Source organism: Homo sapiens, chromosome 2 (assembly GCF_000001405.40).
Source record: "Homo sapiens chromosome 2, GRCh38.p14 Primary Assembly".
In the NCBI taxonomy this organism is placed as follows: Eukaryota; Metazoa; Chordata; class Mammalia; order Primates; family Hominidae; genus Homo; species Homo sapiens.
In genome coordinates this window covers 235971034-235994455 of record NC_000002.12, presented here as the reverse complement: position 1 = coordinate 235994455, position 23422 = coordinate 235971034, and the positions used below count along the sequence as shown (strand labels likewise).

General features: G+C 44.3%; 1 protein-coding gene and 1 long non-coding RNA gene across 5 annotated transcripts in view, besides 1 other annotated feature; both read right to left on the bottom strand.

Moving 5' to 3' along the window:
• The window catches only part of LOC124907999 (uncharacterized), a 35153-nt gene extending 12741 nt beyond the window's left edge, over nucleotides 1–22412 (bottom strand). Inside the window, exon 1 of the long non-coding RNA XR_007088134.1 lies at nucleotides 20794–22412. This is a non-coding gene — a long non-coding RNA (uncharacterized LOC124907999). The remainder of the gene's footprint in view (nucleotides 1–20793) is intronic.
• The window catches only part of AGAP1 (ArfGAP with GTPase domain, ankyrin repeat and PH domain 1), a 637751-nt gene that overhangs the window by 137338 nt on the left and 476991 nt on the right, over nucleotides 1–23422 (bottom strand). The gene's annotated exons all lie outside the window — the stretch shown is intronic.
• Nucleotides 21206–21705: an enhancer, noted in NCBI's record as "H3K4me1 hESC enhancer chr2:236881395-236881894 (GRCh37/hg19 assembly coordinates)". NCBI's record gives its function as "activates a minimal SCP1, AML or CMV promoter by ChIP-STARR-seq in primed H9 embryonic stem cells {active_cell/tissue: H9 hESC(primed)}" and the evidence as "EXISTENCE:reporter gene assay evidence [ECO:0000049][PMID:30033119]".

Below are 23422 nucleotides of genomic sequence, written 5' to 3'. Positions count from 1 at the left end.
AACTCCAAGAGGCACACAAGTACAAGCACTAAGAAAGTTGTTACGTGAGAAGAAATGAATTTTGAGGTGTGCGTTATAAACTATGTTATCTTCATCAACTATTGCACAGCACGAAAATGACAGGGAACACCCCTAAATGGAACCAGCTTTCAGGAGGGCATAAAAGCACAGACATGGAGAAATGCTAACTATGACCAGTTTCAACAGAAATGGATGTAGGCACTCTAAGACGAAGGTGTCTTGCCAAAATGAGAGTATGAAACGACAAGACTCTTAAAAAGGACACATATGGAACCATGTTATGAAGCTTTGGGGAATACAGAAAGAGTGCCTAACCTGGGCATGATATTCTAGAGGAATTAGAAGCTGGGGGACACACAGCCAATGGGGGTCCCAGGGGAAGGTGTCTGTGCTACAGCCATCCTGTGGAGCAGGCTTATGGGTCATCGTAACTTTCCCAAGCTAAAAAAAAACACCTAGGACCTGTGTTCCTAGGACATCTGGAATGTTCTGGGTTTTCATATTAGTAAAATCCCATTTGCTCACAGACTTTTCCCAAATCAGAAGTGACGAGGTCTCAGGACGTCCTGAATGTTGCTGGGTAAGTAATTAAAACTCCACTTTCTCCAAGCGCACGTGAGGACACACCTGTGCTCCCCAGGACTGGAACAGCATCTACACAGCCAAAGCAGAAGGGCGTGGCATAGCTGGTTTGGTAAGAAAGAGTTTAAGTTAAACTAGGGTATTTTCAAAGGAAGCGTTCCTCAGAGCCCTTAATTTGGTATTGGGCAGCAAAAACTCCAACAGGGACACAGGCTGCAACATTCTCCAAGCATTTTCCTTCACAGTATCTTGCTGGCTTCAGTTTCCACAATGTGAACTTTGGGAAGCATTGGTTTCTATCACACAAAACCATACTTGCAGAAAAGAAATACATCGCAAATCCAATTACTACCTCCCTATAGGCCTGCAGAGGTGCTCCCTGTCTTCCACTTTGAGAAGCAGTTTCCATCAGGGACATACCACGTGCACACACTGTGCTGGACTTTCAGGGACACCAGGAAATATCTGAGACGAGTCTCCTGCCTTCTTGGGCTTCCAGCCTAGTCGAAGGGACAAGGCTAACCCAAGTGAAATGTTTAAACCACTGACAGCAGCTCAGAATACAAGGCTGCCAAGGCTGCTCCAAGGCAGTAAATATCAATAGTATTGTATAGACTGGCCTGAGTTGAGGAAAAGATCACTGCAAATCACCCTCCTCCCCACAAACAGTTTGGTGTTTGAACTGTACAACTGCAAATTGTGGGAATCCTATATATACGCCGCTATCAATACTTAGGAAGCACAACTCCATGTATTAGCTAGAATCTCTGCTAAAGTCATTTTCAGATGTACATATGAAAAAAGTCCATGTCTTAAACTGGTTTTTTGTAACGTATAACAATAACTTTTGCTACTATCTTTCATGAAAGGCAGACACGTCAGCATGGAGGCATTTCCAGTTCCACTATGTGGCCAGCCAGGTTCTCCCAGGTAGGGAGGAGGTCAAGGAGAGACGTCCATGGTTCACGACGGAAAGAGGCCAACACAAGCTCAACTGCAAAGGCCATGAAACAATGTGCAGCCTGTGCGTGGAAACGGCTGGTCTACCCCAAAGAGCAGCAGGAGGCTACGTTAACAGGAGGCTACGCTCTCCTCGGCGCCCACGACGCATCCCCAGGTGTGCAGGACCTCAGCGGCCACGATATTCTTGGTGAGTTGAAGAGTCACCTTAAAAATGTGGTTCAATGCTACTTAATGCATACTCTGATGAGTATTGCCTTCAACATTTAAAAAGCATAATATAACAAGTGATCTCTTACATCAGAACACAACAGTGTCCCCGAGCCTTTCTTAGGTGAGTCAATAAAATCTGAAAATACACTGCACATAATTTGGCTCCCACGAGTAATACTGTAGTCTATAAGAACTGAATCCTCAGAAAGGAATGGGTGGCAGTCTCTGTCCCCACATGGAGGGTCCCCTGCCACTGAACGCCAGACACTCAAAGCACAGGAGTTCATTGAGTGAATCCTGACAACAGTCTTGGAGGTAGACAACCTGATCGTTCCCATTTTACAGCTGAGAGCACTGACGGGAGCGTGAGGCACTCGCCCAGGCCACCCGCCAGGAAGAGGTGGAGCTGCAACTCAAACCCAGGAAGACCGGCTCCTCCGCTGCGCTCCTAACCACGCAACATGGACCCAGGAAGACCGGCTCCTCCGCTGCGCTCCTAACCACGCAACTCGGACCCAGGAAGACAGGCTCCTCCGCTGCGCTTCTAACCACTCCTGTTATCTGGGTCTCGTGATGGCCACCATCACAACCCTTCTCCACACACGGCTACGGCCATGTCCTGTGGACAGAGGAGACACCAACTGAGCAGTCTCAACGGGCCTTCACAGATGAGAGAGAAATGTGGACATTTGTGAGGCTGGATGTTTCAGTTTTACGGACAGCAAGATTCTAAGCGTTTTTTTGCAAGTCTGAATCTGTAGCGAATCTTTTACTTTTTTCCCCGACTCACAATTCAAGAAGACATTACAAGAGAAAATCAGAGGTAAAAAGAACATTTTTCCAAAGTCGGAGCAATGAGAAGAAATGAAAACCTTACAAGAAATATTTCAGCAAAAGAGAAATTCCTTCTTCTTCATTAGATTTGGGAACTGCAGAAGGAAATGCCTTAATTACCCATGAAGCAAGATAGCCTTATGTGATTGCCTTCACTTTAAGAGCCTTAGAAAGAACGCCCAGTATTAAACGCTCATGTCTTTTTCCAATTGCTGGGCAACTCCAATGTCATGCACCAACCTCGCAAAATAATCTTATACGAAATGAAATGATTTAAAAAACCATTTTCTTTCCTTTTTTAAGAGGTGGGGTCTCACTGGGATGCCCAGGCAGGACTTGAACTCCTGGGCTCAAGCGACCTTCCCACCTCAGTCTCCCGAGGAAACTGCCTTGAAACTGTTAGAGTGATATGCATTTTTATTAGCCTGCCTTCATATTTGCTGGTTCTCTGGACCACTTTTTAAAACTGTCCAATTTTCTGATTGATCATGCTGCTTGGAGAGAATAAACCCTACAAATATTGGAATATAATTGTATGTGGAGAATGAGCTAGAATATACTGAATAAAGTATTTTTATACTGACCCTTCAAAATTAAAGGACAGAGAAATAAGAAATGCATAATAATTCTTGAGACATAAAATACTTCTCCAGTCATATTACCAGAGAATAAGTACAACACAAAAATCTAGGTAAAATTCAGCTTGTTTTACACAATACAGTAGAACATAAGCATATAGCACGTGATGTTAACTACAAACAAGTACTCAGTTTAAGGTGGCCACCACAACAGTGCAAACACAATTCCCTGGCCAGGAAGATGCCGACCACAGAGGGCCACCTGGCGACAGCCTCACCTTTGCTGGGCTGTGCTATGTGGTCTCCTCGGTGAGCCCTGCTTGGCTGCCTTTGCAGAAAAGAACCTTGCCCCACCCCTGGTGGTCCCAATTCCTCTTACTCTATCTTGTTCCATTGTGTTGATCACAATCTGACATAATACACATTCACTTATTTACTGTTGCAAATTACATTTTCCAAAAATGGCCATGGTCATATTTTAGTCCACATGCTCTTCTAGAACCTTGCCACTCTCTATCCAGAGGCAGAGTCTATTTCTGCTACCCTAGACCCTAAGTGGGACTCTGACTGTGTTGACTACAGATGGAGTAAAATTGACACTCTGTGTCCTCTGAGGCAAGGTCACAGAGGAAACAAGACTTCTGCCCAGCCATGTACCTCTCTCATGTGATGCCTGCCCTTGGAACCCAGCCACCATGTTGGAAGGAAGCCCAGGCCACTTGCAGAGGTCATGTGTAGGTGTTCTGGCTGACAGCCCCAGCTTAGGTCCCACCCAACAGGCAGCATCAACCATCAAACACACGAGTGACTGGGATTCGGGATGTTGCCAGTCCTGGCTTCTGAGTCTTCCAGGTGAGGCCCCAAACATCACGAGGCAGACACAGGCCTTCCTAGCTGCACCCATTCTAATTCCTGACCCACAGAGGCTGCAGGGAAGCGTCTTTGCAGGGAACTCTGCTGGAAGGTGCGGCTGGACACAGGGGCACATGTCAGTGGAGAGAGATGGGTGCTTTAAGGAGGATGATCTGTTTTGAAAACAGCATCTACAGCTCAAATAGTAACTTTGACATAACAGATAATATTTGAGCTTTTATTTTTCTGCAATTTGATTTAAACCAATAAGACAGGGTAGGAAAAACATTAAAAAAGGTTTTAACAGGAATCCTAACGGTAGAGCACTTGGGACAACATAAGAACGGCTTGTGTGGCTGTGGGTCCTGGGGTGTGGCCCACATTTTTATGAGTCTGAATCTCCGTGAGACACTGGTCCTTCACACAGATCTAGCTGATCTTAACCTAAACCACTGGTTCCCAACCCCGGCTACGCATTTGAATGATCTAAACTGTCCAGATTGCTGACTGGCCAGCCCCTCCCCTCTCTTTCATCTCTTCTCCTGTGGGCAAAAGGAAGACGCATGGATTTCCTCTTCCGAGGCTGTCCCTCCCTGTGAGCTGCTGCTGTGACCGTTCCACTCCATGCACGTCTCCCGCACGGACTGATGCTTGCCAATGTCTTCAGTCCTCCTCCCACTGACCCACCTCCTCCAGGGATTCCCCGTCCTCCTGGGCTCCTTGATTCATGACTCTTTCTCCAACCAACACCCAGGAGCTGGTGCAGCCCGAACTCTCCTAATCCCCTCTAGTTTCTCCCACATCTTCCTGGGTGGCCCTAAGCTTTGTATGTGGCCTCATGTCCTCCTTGCACGCAGGCAGCCCCTCAGCTACGCCACCAGTGTGCCCAGGCCCTGCCTGGGGCTGCCTCCCTAGGGCAAACCCTCCTCCAGCCCAGCTCATCCTGTCCCAGCACCCACCTCTCCCCTACACTCATCACCATCGAGCTGCGGACCCTCCTCCTGATGTTTTCACCTGGTCTGTTCTTCCTCCCTCCATGGTTCCAGTTGGGGGAAGGGCTTAGGAACTAGGTTTTCATTCAGGACATTGTGAGCTTGCAAAGTCACCAGATGGGCAGAGGAGCTGGGTGAAGCCACACGCAGCAGCGACCTCTACACAGTACCTGGTCAATAAATACCTGTCAGCAGCTTGAACGAAAAATATCTAATTCCAGGGAAGAAGGAAGACACCACAGACAACAAGCTGTTAAGACCTGGTATTGCCTACGTCTTGCAGTTTTAAATAACAACAACCATCATCATCATCTTCATCTCACATTATTATTTGAAGGACACAGGAGAGGAATTCTCAGGGGATGCAAACTCTGAAGAACAGAAAAACCAAAAGACTCCACATTATTGGCCAAGGGAAGCCTGACAACGTGTGGTCTGTGCATTCCTCGGAAGACCTAAACTAAAACTCAACGACCCCAAGGTGCAGGTGTGTGAGAACTGGAGGATCACCAGCACCCAGGCAAAGTGGCGCTGAAGCAAGTTACCTGCTGGGGGACCATGTGAGTGATGAGAGTCAAGGAGGCGACAGTGACGCCCAGTCTGGGAAACACATGCTGACCACAGAAAAAAGGGTGGGTGCAGGGGAATGAGTGCGCATCACCGATTCTGAAGTGCAATCTGAGAGCTCGTCTTGGCCAGAGTGGAGTCGGCGGGAAAAAAATAATCATTTCTCGTCTTTAAGATTCCATTTACCCACTGGGCCCCCTCATTACTGGAAAGTTACAGGAAAAATGCAAGTGTTTCAGAGACAATGGAAAAAGCTGACCTCTGCAGATGAACTAAAACAAGGAGAAACGCCTGCATGCCTTGACTAAGTACCTACTGCTCAGAAAAACAGCCATACCTGCCAGAGAACACTTACGCTAAAGTTCAGAAATCACTTCCTGACTTCGGGGCGGGGGTTGGGGGTGGCATTTAAGGACAAGAAATTCTGAGTAGTATCTGAAGCAGGTGCGACTGATTCATGGCAGCAGGGACAGGGAATCCATTGTCACCCACGCACCAATCAAAAGGAGTTTTAGGCCAGGCACGGTGGCTCACGCCTGTAATCCTACCACTTTGGGAGGCCGAGGCAGGTGGATCACCTGAAGTCAGGAGTTCAAGACCAGCCTGGCCAACAGGGTGAAGCCCTGTCTCTACTAAAAACACAAAAATTAGCTGGGCGTGGTGGTGGGCACCTTTAACCCCATCTACTCGGGAGGCTGAAGCAGGAGAATCACTTGAACTTTGGAGGTGGAGGCTTCAGTGAGCCGAGATCATGCCACCACACTCCAGCCTGGGCAACAGAGTGAGACTCTTGTTTCAAAAAACAAAACAGAACAAACGAACAAACACAAAATAACAAAAGGAGTTTTAACTACCAACATTCTGCATACTTTCGGTTTGATTTTCTGGAAAAAGCAACAATATTTTTAACATGTTTATATCACCTATTTTTGTAATTAGGAGGGAGCCTAATTACAGGAGCTTCTTTAATTCCGTATTACGCATGAACGGATGAGGACAAGGTGAAGTCACAGAATGATGTAAGAGAAGAATTTGGCGGTTCTCACACAGTTACATGGAAATTGAACAACCTGCTCCTAAATGACTCTTGGGTAAATACTGAAATTAAGACAGAAATCAAGAAGTTATTTGAAACCAATGAGAACAAAGAGATAACTTACCAGAATCTCTGGGATACCGCTAAAACAGTGTTCAGAGGGAAATTTATAGCACTAAATGCCCACATTGGAAAGAGCTAGAGAGGCAACAACGAACTAATCCAAAAGCTAGCAGAAGACAAGAAATAACTAAGATCAGAGAAGAATTGATAGAGTAGAGACAGGAAAACCCTCCAAAAAAAAAAAAAAAAAATCAATGAATCCAGTAGCTGGTTTTTTGGGGGGGAAAAAAATCAATGAATCCAGTAGCTGTTTTTTTGAAAAAAATTAACAAAATAGATAGACCATTAGCTAAACTAATAAAGAAGAAGAGAGAAAAATCAAACAGACATAATAAAAAATGATAAAAGGGATATCACCACTGACCCCACAGAAATACAAACTACCATCAGAGAATACTATAAATACCTCTATGCAAATAAACTAGAAAATCTAGAAGAAATGGATAAATTTCTAGACACATACATCCTACCAAGACTAAACCAGGAAGAAGTCAAATCCCTGAATAGACAAATAACAAATTCTGAAACTGAGGCAGTAATTAATAGCCTACCAACCAATAAATAAATAAATAAATAAATAAATAAATAACAATAAAAAGCCCAGGACCAGATTCACAGCTGAATTCTACCAGAAATACAAAGGGCTGGTATCATTCCTTTTGAAACTATTCCAAACAATTGAAAAGGAGACATTCCTCCCTAACTCATTTTATGAAGCCAGTATCATCCTGATACCAAAACCAGGAAGAGACACAACAAAAAAAGAAAACTTCAGGCAAATATCCCTGATGAACATCAATGCAAAAATCCTCAACAAAATACTGGCAAAAAGAGTCCAGCAGCACATCAAAACACTTATCCACCATGATCAAGTCGGCTTCATCCCTGGGATGCAAGGCTGGTTCAACATACACAAATCAATAAACATAAATCATCACATAAACAGAACCAAAGATAAAAACCACATCATTATATCAATAGATGCAGAAAAGGCCTTCAATAAAATTCAACATCTCTTCATATTAAAAACTTTCAATAAACTAGGTATTCATGGAATGTATCTCAAAACAGTAAGAGCTATTTATGACAAACCCACAGGCAATATCATATTTAATGTGCAAAAGCTGGAAGCATTCCTTCTGAAAACTGGTACAAGACAAGGATGCTCTCTCTCACCACTCCCATTCAACATAGTAATGGAATTTCTGGTCAGGACGATCAGGCAAGAGAAGAAAATAAAGGGTATGCAGATAGGAAGAGAGGAAATCAAATTGTCTCTGTTTGCAGACAACATGATTTTATATTGAGAAAACCCCATCATCTCAGCCTAAAAACTCCTTGAACTGATAAGCAACTTCAGCAAAGTCTCAGGATATACAAAATAAATGTGCAAAAATCACAAGCATTCCTTTACACCAACAATAAGCAAGCAGAGAGCCAAATCATGAATCAACTCTCATTCACAATCTCTACAAAGACAATAAAATACCTGGGAATACAACTAACAAGGGATGTGAAGGACGTGTGCAAGGAGAACGACAAACCACTGCTCAAGGAAATAAGAGAGGACACAAAAATATGGAAAAAAACTCCATCCTCATGGATAGGAAGAATCAATATCATGAAAATGGCCATACTGCCCAAAGTAATTTATAGATTCAATGCTATTCCTATGAAACTACCATTGACAGTCATCACAGAATTGGAAAAAACTATTTTAAATTTCATATGGAATCAAAGAAGACCCTGTATAGCCAAAACAATCCTAAGCAAAAAGAACAAATCTGGAGGCATCACACTACATGACTTCAAACTATATACAAGGCTACAGTAACCAAAACAGCATGGTACTGGTACCAAAACAGGCATATAGACCAATGGAGCAGAACAGAGACCTCAGAAATACCACCACACATATATAACCAACTGATCTTTGACAAACCTGACAAAAACAAGCAATGGGGAAAGGATTTCCTATTCAGTAAATGGTGCTGGGAAAACTGGCTAGTCATATGCGGAAAACTGGCTAGCCATATGCAGAAAACTGAAACTGGACCCCTTCCTTACACCTTTTACAAAAATTAACCCAAGATTAATTAAAGAGTTAAATGAAAACCCAAACCATAAAAACTCTAGAAGAAAACCTAGCCAATACCATTCAGGACATAGACATGGGCAAAGACTTCATGACAAAAATGCCAAAAGCAATTGCAACAAAAGCCAAAATTGACAAATGGGATCTAATTAAACTAAAGAGCTTCTGCAAAGCAAAAGAAACTATCATCAGAGTGAACAGGCAACCTACAGAATGGGAGAAAAATTTTGCAGTCTATCCATCTGACAAAGGGCTAATACCCAGAATCCACAAAGAACTTAAACAAATTTACAAGAAACAAACAACCCCATCAAAAAGTGGGCAAAGGATATGAACAGACATTTCTCAAAAGAAGACATTTATGCAGCCAATAAACATATGAAAAAGAAGCTCAACTCACTGATCATCAGAGAAATGCAAATCAAAACCACAGTGAGATACCATCTCATGCCAGTTAGAATGGTGATTATTAAAAAGTCAGGAAACAAAAGATGCTGGTGAGGCTACGGAGAAATAGGAATGCTTTTACACTGTTGGTGGGAATGTAAATTAGTTCAACCATTGCGGAAGACAGTATGGCGATTCCTCAAGGATCTAGAGCCAGAAATACCATTTGACCCAGCAATCCTATTACTAGGTATATACCCAAAGGAATATAAATCATTCTGCTATAAAAACACATTCACACATATGTTTATTGCAGCACTATTTACAATAGCAAAGACATGGAACAAACCCAAATGTCCAACAATGACAGACTAGATAAATAAAATGTGCTAAATATACACCATGGAATACTATGCAGCCATAAAAAGGAATGAGATCATGTCCTTTGCAAGGACATGGATGAAGCTGGAAGCCATCTTCCTCGGCGAACTAACACAGGAACAGAAAGTCAAACACCATAGGTTCTCACTCATAAGTGGGAATTGAACATCGAGAACACATGGACACAGAGCGGGGAACAATACACACCAGGGCCTGTTTGGGGGTCGGGGGTGAGGGGAAGGAACTTAGAAATGGGTCAATAGGTGCCGCAAACCACCATGGCATATGTATACCTATGTAACAAACCTGCACAATCTGCGCATCTATTTTTTTTTTTTTTTAAGAAATAAAGGAAAAAAAAAAAGAATTTGGTGGTTCCTTGAAAAGTTGAACAGAGTTACCATATGACCCAGCAATTCCACTCCTAGGTTTATACCCTAGGAAAAACTGAAAACAGGGACTCAAACAGATACTTGTGTGACAATGTTCACGCAGCATCCTTCATAACAGCCAAAAGGCGGAAACAATCCAAGTGTCTGTCAACAAACAAAATGTTGTAAATCCACACTATGGAATATTATCCATCCTTTAAAAAGAATGGTGTACAGACACATGCTACAACATGGAACATTATGCCAAATATAAGATGCCAGACACAAAAGGATCCATATTCAACTATCATATGATTCTTTTGATATGAAATATCCAGATGAGGCAAATTCACAGACAGAAAGCAGGCTGGAGGTCACAGGGGCTGGGAGAAGTAGGGGCTGGGGAGTTGTTGCTTAATGGTTAGCAGATTTCTGTTTGGAGTGAAGAAAATGTTTTGGGAATGGCGGTCATGGTTGTCCAGCACTGTGAATGTGAAAATATAATTCAACGGCACTGAATTGAACACTTAAAAACAATTAAAATGGCAAATTTTATGTTACATACAGCCATGTATCCCCATCGTTAAGTGATGCATTCTGAGAAATGTGTCGTTAGGCGATTTTGTCATTGTGTGACCATCACAGAGTCCATACATAAGCCTAGATGGTGTGGCTACCACACACTCAGGCTATGTGCAGAGCCTATTGCTCCCAGGGCATAAACCCATACAGTATGTGACTGTATCAAAAACTGTAGGCAGTGGCAACACAATGGGAAGTGTGTATTTAAACATCTAACCATAGAAAAGGCACAGTAAGGACACGGTATTATAATCTCATGGGACCACCATCACATTACTTGGTCCATCATTGAACAAAATGTTGTAATGTGATGCATGACTGTATTTTGCCACAATAAAAAAAAGTTCAAAGAAAAAAGAGAATAAGAAAGGGAGAAAAAGACAATGATGAGGTTATGGATGGGAAAAGAAGAAAAAAGAAATTAAACAAGAGAAGCAAGGACAGTCTTACAGGAAAAAGGAGAATGGAAGAGAAAGAAGGAAAGGAGAAAAAGGGGCCAGAATGTAGAAAGTGATGGGAGGTTGGTGCTGGAGAGGAGGAGCTGAACAAAAGGAGGGGGCCTAGCAAGGGGAGAAGCCCCTTGCCCAGACCCCTGCCCCGGTGGATGCCCTCCCAGCCATGTTCCCTGCAGCAGCGCTGGTCCTTTGCACACCTGTAAAGAGACCCTCCTGCAGCTCCCCTTGCTGGGCACTTCCATAACCCCCCATCCTGTCCCTTCTCTGGGGTCGTCCACCAGCCCCAGCATCCTGGGAGACCCCTGAGGCCAGCTTCCTGCTCAGCAAATGGCCCTGCAGCAGTGAGCACACCTCCACAGACCAGGCTGGCTTAAGGAATGTCTCCTCATGCTCACACATCGCTCATCTGAACAGTGTGGAGGAGTGTTTGCAAATGCTTTTTAGGGGTTGGGAAAAAAAATTAAAATAAGAACTGGATTTGGCCTATAAATGAATGGGTATCAAATCTTGTCTCAGAACTCAAGTAAAAGAACGTGGGAAAAAGTGGCTCTCCTGGGCAAACTAAGCTGATGAGCTGGCAATCAGAAACAGAAGGTAACAAGTCACTGATGACAGTAACATATTAATCTTTGAATGTCCAGAAGGAAAGAAAACCAATTTCCCATCAATGACATTCTGGAACCACTCAGGGCACAATGGTGGAAGTCTGGAAAGAATGGCAGCCAAGGGCTGGCTTCGGTTCTTTCCTTCCACGAACGGACTGGGCAAGTATTTCTGTGCTGCTCGAAAAGAAACAGGGCCTAAACCTTCTCTATGTTCCTTCAATGAGCCTGGGAGAGCAGACAACGAAGAGGAAGGTTGAAAATTCTTATCTTCAGTAGTCCCCTAGAACCAATGATAATACAGGTTACTTTTACCATTTATGAGTTCTTCAAACCAACACCCCACAACAGCAGTGCCTCATTGCATGAATCGTCCCCCCTTCCTTCTGACCTCCTAGCTATGACCCTCCCAGCTGATGTCCCCACGGTGTGCAGAATAAAGTAATATTTTGGGGGAAAATCATGAAAATAGTTATAGATCTTAAATTGCTTAATTAATTGGCCCGTTGAGGTAATTATATGTTAATTGTAAGAGTTACTCTGCATTCACAGCTAAAAGTGTTTCTGCATGTTTACTGACTCTTTGATTCTCTTTAAATGTGAGAAATGGATTTACTTGTCCAGGTAAAATTACCAGGCTGCGAAGAGATCATCATTATATATGCCAGCTTTCCAAAATTACAGCCTTTGAAACTTTGATCATTTGTTCTTCGTGGATCTGGTATTTTCTAAGTGCTGTAAAAATGCATTCTGTCAATCTGCTGAAGCACAGCCTCGGGTAAAATGTCAGAAGTTTTTATGGTTGGAATATTAACTTATTAAAATTAAGAAACACTCTTCAGATAACCCATAATAAAACCCCTTATTTTATATGAACTTCTTCTGTAGGAAGAATCCTAGACAAGCCAAGATTCGGAGGCAAGACCGCTGAAAAGACAAGCGCCCCCTTCCAAGGGAAGGGAAGGTCACCGTGGAGATGTGTTAGAGGCGGCGAGCACTGCTGCCCTCGCCTGGATCGGTGGCCCTATCGCTGCTTTCTACGTCTATGGCCTTGAGCAAGTTACTTAAACTTTATGACCCTCGGTTTCCTCAGTTATAAAAATGCGGATAACGGCACCCACCTCCCAGGTTCTTGTGAGGGTTATGAGACGCTGCGTGTAAAGCACTTAAGCCCAGTGCCTGACACATGGCAGTGGTCAATAATTGATAGTGATATTATTGCTAATAGATTGTCAACTCTGAGTTTCTGTTTCGTGATTGATTTCCTCTTTGAAAGAGGCATCACTAAATGTGTATTCTGGTAGAAAATATTTTATTTTCATGAAATTCAGAAAGAAAAAAAATAACACCGTGTGTGTGTGTGTGTGTGTGTGTACGCATGGAACATGAACTTAGAAATTCTGGTCAGCTCTCTTAGGGGTGTTCTGGTAACCATGCCTACAGTATATCATGGCTTCTGCAGAAAACCAACTGAAGGGGAAAATCATTCCTACCTGAAGAAAGCAAGAAAGACCCAAATGAATAATCAAGCCAAAGAACAAAGCTACCTATTTATTTAATTAAGAAGAGTCAAATCAAGTTATTGAAATACCTGCTGGAGCAATGCTACGGCTCTCGTCCCTCATATAAGCTTAGTGACCACAGGCCCCGAGGCAGCATGTGTTGGCAAGTTCAAGACAGACTTTGAGAAACATCTCACAGTGATCACATACTCTGGGGTGTCTAATTCCTTAGCCTTGCACAAAATGTTAAAACAAAAAAATAAAACACCTTAGAAGTTTTCCTAATCATTCTAAGACAATCCGTAAGACAAGAATCAGAATTAAGAGCATAACAGGAGGAGGCAAAAAATCTTGGTTTATACCAGTTTTCACTTCTACATAGTAACATTGGTTTAATTGTCTGATTTTCTTAAGAGGCAACATCATGCCTCATTTTGGTAAGAAACAATCCCATCCTTTCAAATGTCCCCAGACTTCAAGCTCAATAGCGAGGGGAGGGAGGAAACAATGGGAGAAAGTCTTTTGGGCACAGGGTAGCAGGCTGAGCCCAAACCTAGCAATGCTGACATGAGCTCCACGGTCACACGGAGCGACCACTCAACAGTAGGAAGAATTCTCTGCCTATTTTCCTGCAGATGAAAAGATCTTTAGATAATTAATGCTTTTATGCCAAGATGGAAACTAACCGCCAGATCTCCTCAAAGCTTAGAGCCTCCCCCGGATCAATCCGGGAACCTGAACACAGTGGCCACATAATTGAACCTGTCCTCGACGCTCAACATGTGTGCTCAGCGGCAAATGCGGTGAGATATCTTAAATATTATCAAACACTGTATCATTAAACAGAAATTAGACGGAAACAAGGGAAGCCTAAAAATTGACTAGGAGTTCGGATGCTCTCAATGGCTAATATGTCCATTTTTCACCTGAAGCCCTCTCCAAATGCAGTTTTGCTATTAAGCAAAACCCAAAGAAAGGTAATCAATTCCAACTAAAAAGCACTTATCCTGGGATGACGATGTACAAGGCACTTCAAACCCCTGGCTGCCTGCCAAAACCCAGACAACAGCCATCAATGTTTCCGACTATTCGAGGAGCACAGGGGCCATGCATAATTGACTAGAAGATGGGCTAAAACTGTGCCCAATCAGTGTGTGATCAAAAACGCGTGGAATATTCAGCGCCACTTGATTACACGGAGGGTCGTCCTTTCACTCTCCTCATGAAATCTCTTCAAGGTCCACAGTACTGTAATAAGATCATTACTGTCAAGCGGTACGAATCGCAGGCAATGAGTCTTGGGATAGGGAGTCATACTTCACAAGCTCCCCTGCTTTCTCTATCTCTCTTTTTTTTGTATTTTACTGCATGCAGAGGCAGCAAGGCGACGAGGTGGCAGATAATGATCACATCACTGTGTGGCAACTAGAAAGGCACTTTTAAGAAAAAGCAGAGCGAAATCAGCTTAAGAGAAAACTAAAACATTTTTCCTTTGCTTTTTTCCACTTAAAAAAATTAAATAGAATTAAACTGTGTGCAGTAGGCACTTTTCATGAACTCTGATACAATGTCATTGATTTTACCCATTTGATAGATTTTCATATTGCAGCAAAGCCCATTACCCCACAGACAAATGGCCAATTTTCTCCATGTCCCACGTGCACAAGAGGCCCTTGTGAAGTTGTGTGTCCGTGCACGGCAATGCCTGCCGGAACGTTCGCTGCGCCTGTTCTTTCACTGGCTCCACACCTTGGTGCCTATGGTATGTCTGAGATGAGAAAGGGGTGGAGTGGAAAGCCAGGAGGGTATTAGCAAAGATTACTAAATAAACACACAAAGTTTATCTCAACTACACCTTCTCCAAAGCATTAATACATCTTGATAAAATGAGCGCGAGTCAGTAACTATGATCGGACCCCGCAGCCAGGCGAGACAGGCATTTGATTAACACTTAAATCAGCGATGCAGGATTCAAATGAACGACAGGGGGGCTTAATCAATCACCACCCTCCTCCCTCCAACCTCAAACTGCCCTTAAAAATGTGCACTCTAGCTGGCTGTGGTGATACATGCTTGTAAATCCCAGCAACTCAGGAAGCTGACATGGGAGGATCTCTTGAGACCAGGGATTTGAGACTAGCCCGGACAACACAGTGAGATCATATCCCAAAAAAAAAAAAACAAAAACAACAACAAAAAAACCCCACAAATACACTTCTGTCATCCAAAAAAAGAAAAAGCATATCAATCTTAAAATGAACAGAAAAACTGGGTTCACTGCATCTGAATTAAATGTCCGTAAGTCCAAAAAAATTTCAAGAGAGATGTCCCCTTATAACAGAGCCCATCTAATCCTGTAGGTTCTAACTGTCTGCAAAGCAGCTGAAGCAGTGATTTGCATCTTTTTTTTTTAAAAACGTATCAGAGTGTGCATGCACTTGTTTGCAAGGAAGCCATACCACAACACAACAGGCCTCCTGAGAAAACCAGCAAAGGAATGACTGCTTCCCAGTTCTCAAGGGCAGTGGTGGGGAGCCGTGGGCATGGCCCTGCTGTGCTGCAGAAATGGACATGCACAGAGGGAGAAGCAACTCTGAGAGCCACAGGATTGAGAGTAAGAGGCCTGCAGAAGGCTCTCCTCCCACTCCAACCCCCTGAAGCCTTTTCCAGGTTAACAGATGAAATGCAAAGCAAAATACAGACTTCCAAGTCCCAGAGGCCACTCATCTACTGGCCTTGGGCAAATTACTCAACTTTATTCAACCCTCTTCCTCATTTGTGACAACAGAAATGCCACCACCCACCTGCCAACACCACACAGGGTTGTTTTAAGGATGCAATGAGGTAGCGCACAAGCAGGCAGTAAATCCATGGTGTTCTTCCTTTGCACTGGATGATGTCTCCTGACAACAAATCCAAGACTTGGGAGGGAAGAGTGAAGGGGAAAGGACAGCTGTGATCTGTCCAAGCAGTTTCTGACCTGAGACAGTCCATGAAATCCTTAAATGGCATATGGTGCGTGGGTGAGTGGGTGGGTGGGGGCCACAGGGACATTAATCCCACAGCCAGGAATAGAAAGTAGAATGGTCCTACAGACTGAATGTTTGTCTCCCTCCAAAATTCACATGTTGTAGCTCTAATTCCTCACCCCACCAATGTGCTGGTATTTGGAGACTGGGCCTTTGGGAGGTGATGAGGGTTAGATGAGGCCATGAGGGCTGGGCCTTCATGATGGGAGGGGTGTTCTTATAAGAAAAAGAAGAGCTTCTCTCTCTGTGTGTGTGTGCACACCACAGAAGGGCCACATGAGGACACAGCAAGAAAAGGGCCACCTGCAAGCCAGGAAGAGAGCTCTCCCTAGGAAGAGAATCAGCTGGTGCCGTGATCTTGGACTTTGCAGCCTTCAGAACCATGATAAATGAGTTTCTGCTGGTTAAGCCCCCAGTCTGTGGCATTTTGATATGGCAGGCTGAGCTAAGACAAACGGTAGGTGCAATTTTATTTCATCCTCCCCATTTGCCAAGTTGCTTCCACACAGACTAAGTTTTGCATTAGTCAATATCCCCTTTTGTTTTACATCTTTAGAAAGAGGAATGAAGTCGCCACTGCCTGTGAGATAAAACACTGCCTAGTTTCATTATTGCCAGGCCTGGGAGGAAAGACAAAGCGAGCTCAGCTAGAACATCTGAAAATATAACCCCCGGGCATCTCTACTTCCTGAAGCCCAGGCCGCATGTGTCTAACAGAGCGTGGGAACATCTGAGGGCTGCAGAGGCCGAGAAAAACACCCTCGTGCATGAGATGCGGACCTCTCATACCTTGCTGCTGAACATTTCAATCTGTATCCCTGTACTTTGTGTGTAAAATACATGCAGCTGAGGAAAGTAGAAAGAGTAGATGAGGATTTAGAATAGTAAGGAAGACACAAGTTGAACAGCACTGGCCGCTAGAACCAGCCCCTCTTCTGGCTTCAGGACCTTGGTCCAAGTGGACCATAATTTCACCGAGACTTAAATGACATCCGAAAAGCCTCAGAGCTCAAACATTTTGAGACCATCAAGAAAATGACTTCAAGACAGATCCTAGATTCTAATGAAAGTCGACCAATGCAGGGTCTCCCAAGCTAGCCCGAATTCCAATCCCAGGGTGCACACAGGAAAACACGGTGCCCCGAGTTCTCTGCTGATGGACGCCGGAGCCTGTGAGCAGCTTGTGCTAACCGAGCCCCACTCGCAGAAGAGAATCTCTAAGTCTAGCTAAAAAAAAGGAGTTGAGGTCCGTCACATTTCTGTATCTTAGAAAGGGACCTTGTGAGTAGTCAGCATTTTTCAAAGGTGAGTTTATGCTTCTGTGTAGCAGGCTAAGGAGCTCAAATGCTTGTCTGTGGCGTCAGGAGTTGCCTAGGTACCCCCAGGAGCTCCAAGCCACCTCTTTACAAGATTTAGTTTGTTTTGACTTTTCAGATTTTTTCCTTTTTTCCTCCTTGGAATAGCAGATATTTCGTTGTCTATACAACGTGTGTGAGTGTCTACTCCCCTTTGGGGAACCTCCCTGAGGTCCTCCAGGCAGCTGGGGGTGCCCTGTGCTCCTGCATAACCAAGTTCCCCGGCGTGTTTCTGCTTTCTCCACTGGTCTATGTGTGTCCTGATGGCTGGGCCGCTTCAGTTGATGTCCCATCCAGCATCAGACAAAACTCTTGCGTGCAGTAGGTGCTCAATGAACATTTTTGGACCTGAATCTAACCCCTTTAAGTTTGTGTGTGGTTAAAAAAATTAAAACAAACAAACAAACAAAAACCACACTACAAACATCCTTCTGTGCGTCGGTTCATCACGATGGGAATCTTCCGTTCTGGCTGCCCCTGCTGTGATCGACTCATCTTTGTTTATTTCCGACCTGCTGGCTTCCACAAAGGATCTGAGAGCGCTTACTGCTTGTGTGTGTTTGTGGCGGCCGGACTGTACCCTGCAGGATGGCTTTTGAGTCAACTGTGCCCAATCTACAATGTCAATGTCTAGAGTAAACCCAGATGATCTACTCAATTTCAGCAAGTTCATTCTCTTGGAAGCTGGAGTTACAACCTGAGAGCAAACTGTCTTTGGAAAAGTCATCTAGTTTGTGGGGAGGAGGCAAGTCCGTCGGGATGCATGGTGGCTCCCATCACTGACAGCCCAAGGGTGATGAAACCCAGCCAGTCTCCTGATATCCTTAGCAGAGTGAAGTGACTGCATTTCCAGCGTATCTCCCAGGAAGATGTTCTGATTCTTGGTTTTCCACATTCGCTACTGCATTTCCAGTGTATCTCCCAGGAAGATGTTCTCATTCTTGGTTTTCCACATTTGCTATAATGAACTGTTCAACTCAACTGTTCAGATGCACTAACCAGTGGTTTGCTAATAAGGAAGTTTAATTAATAAGTCCTTATTGTATCAAAAATTACTGTTGATTATGCAGTTTTTAGGGAGCTGATTGTGGAGACTTCTCGTTCCCTTTCCTGGGTAGCTGCCAATGTTAAACAAGGAGCAGACACGGGAGGTGCCGGTGGAATGTTCATGGAGAAGAAAAGGAGAAAACCTGAGGGAAGAATGACAGTAACACTTGTGCAACTGGATCTCCCCTCCAGCCACCTCCAAATAACACAGAATTCAATGTGAAAGCCCCTGTAGACTGGATATAAACCTGGAAGGTAACAGTTTCTGGGCCCTGACTCCTTGCCAGTCATGTGCTCACCGTCATGTGCACACTAATTGCACCCCAGGAGTGAGAAAAGATGAGAGCCTTGTGCTAATAAGACTCTTACAACCTTGTTATATTCTAAATAACAAAACAAGCACACTGCCCTCCCAATCACGGCATGCAAAATCCCCAAACTACCCAGCAATGGCTCAAGCTGCATGATAGTCCATCTAACCGGATGGTTACAGATTAACTGAGAGCTTCCACGCACCCACGTATTGCTTTCCTGCAAGAAAAAAAACAACACTGTACGATATGCATGCACGATTCTTTAATTTCTCTCCAAAGTGCCTTCCAAGACATCAACTAATTAATAATAATAAAAAAAAGTCCTCAGGTAAAAGGTAACTGATCAATAGCAACATCTGTTTCTTAGCATCTAAGTAAAAACAAAACTCCATTTTGTGACTAATTAAATCACCACCACTGGTGTTTAAAGTTGTAAGTAGGCAACATTTAATGAAAAAGTAATGATTTCTGCAGTTTTATTAAATAAGATAACCATTATGTGCTAAATCTGCACAATAAAAATTAAGCTCTACAACAGGTTAGCCTTCCCTAACTTTTACAACTCAGTGTGTATTTGTGCTTCTTCTGAATTCCCATGCCTTTCTCGAATATTCTGCCTGACATCCTCGTTACAGTTTCTTGCATGTCTTATCTCCATAATCAGGCTCTAAACTCCTTGGAGAGAGAGAGGAACCGAGTTTTATTTCTCAACGTCTCCCATGGAGGCAAGCACACAGTGCTTTCCCTGTGGTGGTTGCTTCATATTTGATGAAAGAATAAAATGATCTACAATTTCAGGTTCTCCTTTGAAAGAGTGAAGGGAAACTAAGTCCTGGGTGACCTCTGCAACTCTGGAGTTAATGAAATTTGTCAACATTTCATTGCTCAGTGAGTGCAGCTGTGATGAGCAATTCATTTTCTACCATAACAGTGAGAGGCCCGTTTGTGACTTACCCTCTACAGGAGAATCTTTCAATATCCATCCAGGATCAACCACACAATGGTGCGATAAAGACCAGAATGAACAACCAAAGGAACAAGATGAGAAGGATAAAATAAATTCCCTTCTGAGACCTTCAGAACAAAGCGCTGTGAACCCAAGGGGGGGATAACACCAGGATTTCTGCATACCCTCTTGTATAATAAGATTGGGTAAATCCAGTCTGGTCCTGCATTTTTAAAGAAAGATCTTTGCTACACAACTTCTAGATGTTATGAGCCATATAAAAGTCAGTGTCTTTACATGGAATCTGAGAAATATCAAGGAAGCTATTCAGTGTGCCCCACTCCCAGATTCAAAAGCAGCTCCACATACCTCAAAGACTTGCTTTTTGCCTGGTGGAAAGAGTTTGAGGCAGAGAATCAAGAGACAGTTCTGTCACCTACCAGCAACCTGACCCTGGACAAGAAAGCCACTTAACCTCTCTCTACTTCAGCCTTTTCACTGGGGAAACAGGGAAATTAGCACTTAATGCAAACTTGCATGAATGTTATAAAACTAACGAGAACCACCAGGTTCGGGGCCACAGAATGGGACTGCAGAGACCGTTCATTTTAGCAATGACAACCTCACTACTGGACCCGAGATATGAAGATGCCCAGAAAGTACTGTAATTCAAAGACAATGCCAAGAGCTGACAAGCCATTAAAGATCTGCAAAATCCCACTGCCCAGGCGCTTTTCCCTGGCACATACCCTTGAACTTGGACCTGGTTGGGAATCCAGGGCCGTGGTGCAATCACCTTCTAGAGCCCAGGTTCCTCTGCCCTGGTCCAACCCATGCCGACCCCATGCAGGGTCGGGGTCACTCCCTCTCAGGTGGCCCTGGTTCGTAGAGCTTTTTCTAGAGCTTTTAATATCAGAATCAAAATCCACCTCCTTGAGGCTTCCACCCATCAGGTCCCATGGTTACCACCTGGGCCATCCAGGACAAGTTGGGACGCCCTTCTTTGCAAACCTTCCATCAGCTGGTCACAGTCACCATGCCTCATGGCCCTCATCCTCATCACCACCCTTCTCTCTGGTCACTGCACGTTCCCTCCATGCATAGGCTTCAGGCCCTGTCACCATCCTGCCCAGTCACATCTCAATTTCCTTCCATTGGTCTCAATGACCACGCAGCACAGCAGCCCATCTGTGACATAAGAGCCTAGCGACGGGCTCTGTCATCCACACATCTCCTGGTAATCCTCAGAACCCAAAATATACACAAAAAGATAAGGGATTCTCCAGTCACCGTCCCTGCTTCTGTAACTTTCCAGATTCCTCCGATTCATTTTAAATGGTAAACCTAAGAAAATAAATGCTCTCCCTGGGCTGGGGTCTGACACCCTCTGCCATCTGGTGCAGAACAAAGTGGCTGTTCTTCAGCAAAAAGAGCACAGCGAGCACCTGCGCAGGGAGAAACTCCAGGGCAGGAACGGCCCAATTTCCATCGGTCACCCTGACAGCCCCGTGTAGACACAGTGTTTCTGGGTTTGCAGCAGCAGGTACTGATGATTCCTACTATTAGCCTTTACTTTCTGAATAAGTGCGCCACAGAGGTAAGAAACGGCCAGAGTGAGAACCTCTGTGCTTAGCTGGGAGTCTAGGAAGACCTTCTCGCAGGGTCCTTGTCGCACACAGCTGGGGAAGGGCACTGAGGTCTGTTCAGGAAGCCGCGAGGGCTCCCTGGGCCAGGCTAAAGCCAGACCCTGGGGGATGATGGAGGGGAGCACATACCCCTGCCCTCTAGAGCTTCGTTTCCTGTGTTTGTGGACCACCAACAGAGTGGCATGGCACGGGCTTCAGGGGCTTGTAGGAGGTGCTGTGAAAGGCACGAACACTCTACGGCTTCTGTTGGTTTTGTCTTGGTCCTGGGAGCCAACTGTGTGACTGGCATCGTGGGCTCTCAGGGCTTTTGGCCTCTGGTTGGATTTGGCCAAGGAGGGGCCACTGGAGACCAGTGGGAGGGAGAAGAGTGAGGACACCCTCACCTTCCCGGTCACCACAGCCGGACAGGTCTCTTTCTTGAAGGCCACAGCTCCTAGCTGGAAGCTTTCCCAAATAGTTGCCCTCTCCTCACCCCGTTACACCCCGGGTTCTACACCAAACCCACTTTCTCCCCGCATCTCTGCAGACAGGCCCAGGAAGACTCCTCGGCGAACCAGCCGGGGAGCCCCATCCCATTCCAGATTCATCAGCTGAGTTTAATGGATTCTACTGACCAATGGATTCAAAGGACCCTGATAAATTTGCTTACTTCAATGGAATTCTATTTTTCTTATACTCTAAAGAGATTTGAACCTAGTTATTTGTTCCAATAGGGTATATTAAAAACCATAAAATTCAACTACTTTACACAAATCTTCTATAGAAGTTTTATATCTGTAATTCCATCTTTTCAGCACTTGGTCAGGCGATAGAGAATACACTAGTAGTAACCAGTCACAGAGCCTTGCAGGAAAGAGAGGCAGAAATGGTTTTTTATAATAGAATAGTATTCTCAAAACATAAAATATAGGCCGGGTGTGGTGGCTCACGCCTGTAGTCCCAGCACTGGGAGGCTGAGGTGGGAGGATTGCTTGAGCCCAGGAGTTCAAGACCAGCCTGGGCAAAAGAGTGAAACTCCATTTCTACAAAAATACAAAAAATTAGCCAGGTGTCGTGGTGCCTGCCTGTGGTCCCAGCTACTTGGGAGGCTGAGGTGGGAAGATCACTTGAACCTGGGAGTTCGAGGCTGCAGTGAGCCGTGACTGCACCACTACACCCCAGCCTGGGTGACAGAGCGAGGACCTGTCTCAAAAAATACAATAAATAAATAAATAAATAAATAAATAAATAAATAAATAAATAAAATAAAACATATATAACTAGCTTTAGTTTCAAGAACAGATTTTTTTTTTTTTTGAGACGGAGTCTCACTCTGTCGCCCAGGCTGGAGCGCAGTGGCGCCATCCCGGCTCACTGCAAGCTCCACCTCCTGGGTTCACGCCATTCTCCTGCCTCAGCCTCCCAAGTAGCTGGGACCTGCCACCATGCCCAGCTAATTTTTGTATTTTTAGTAGAGACGGGGTTTCATTGTGTTAGCCAGGATGGTCTCGATCTCCTGACCTCGTGATCCGCCCGCCTCAGCCTCCCAAAGTGCTGGGATAACAGGCGTGAGCCACTGTGCCCGGCCAGAACAGAATGTTTAATTTGGGTGTTTTACACAATGTACTTTCAAGGAATTAACAGTAAATAAAACTATCAAAAATATCATATATCACTGAATCTACAATGATATGTTCTGACTTCAGATATGTTACAATTTGGGGGGAAAATGTGGCTTTGAAAAAATGAAATATAGACTTTTTCACAAAAGTGACTCATTTGTAGTCTGATAAGTAACTTTTCCTAGGGAAAAATGATACATTTTCTTTTTATAAATAACTTATGACTTATTTGCTATTGGAAAGATGTCATAGCCGCTGACGTAGAGACCAGACTCTCCTAATTAGAGAGTGAGGTGGCTCCCTTGGAACCTCTGCCTTGGACTTCCAAACACACGTCACCCGCTTACACAT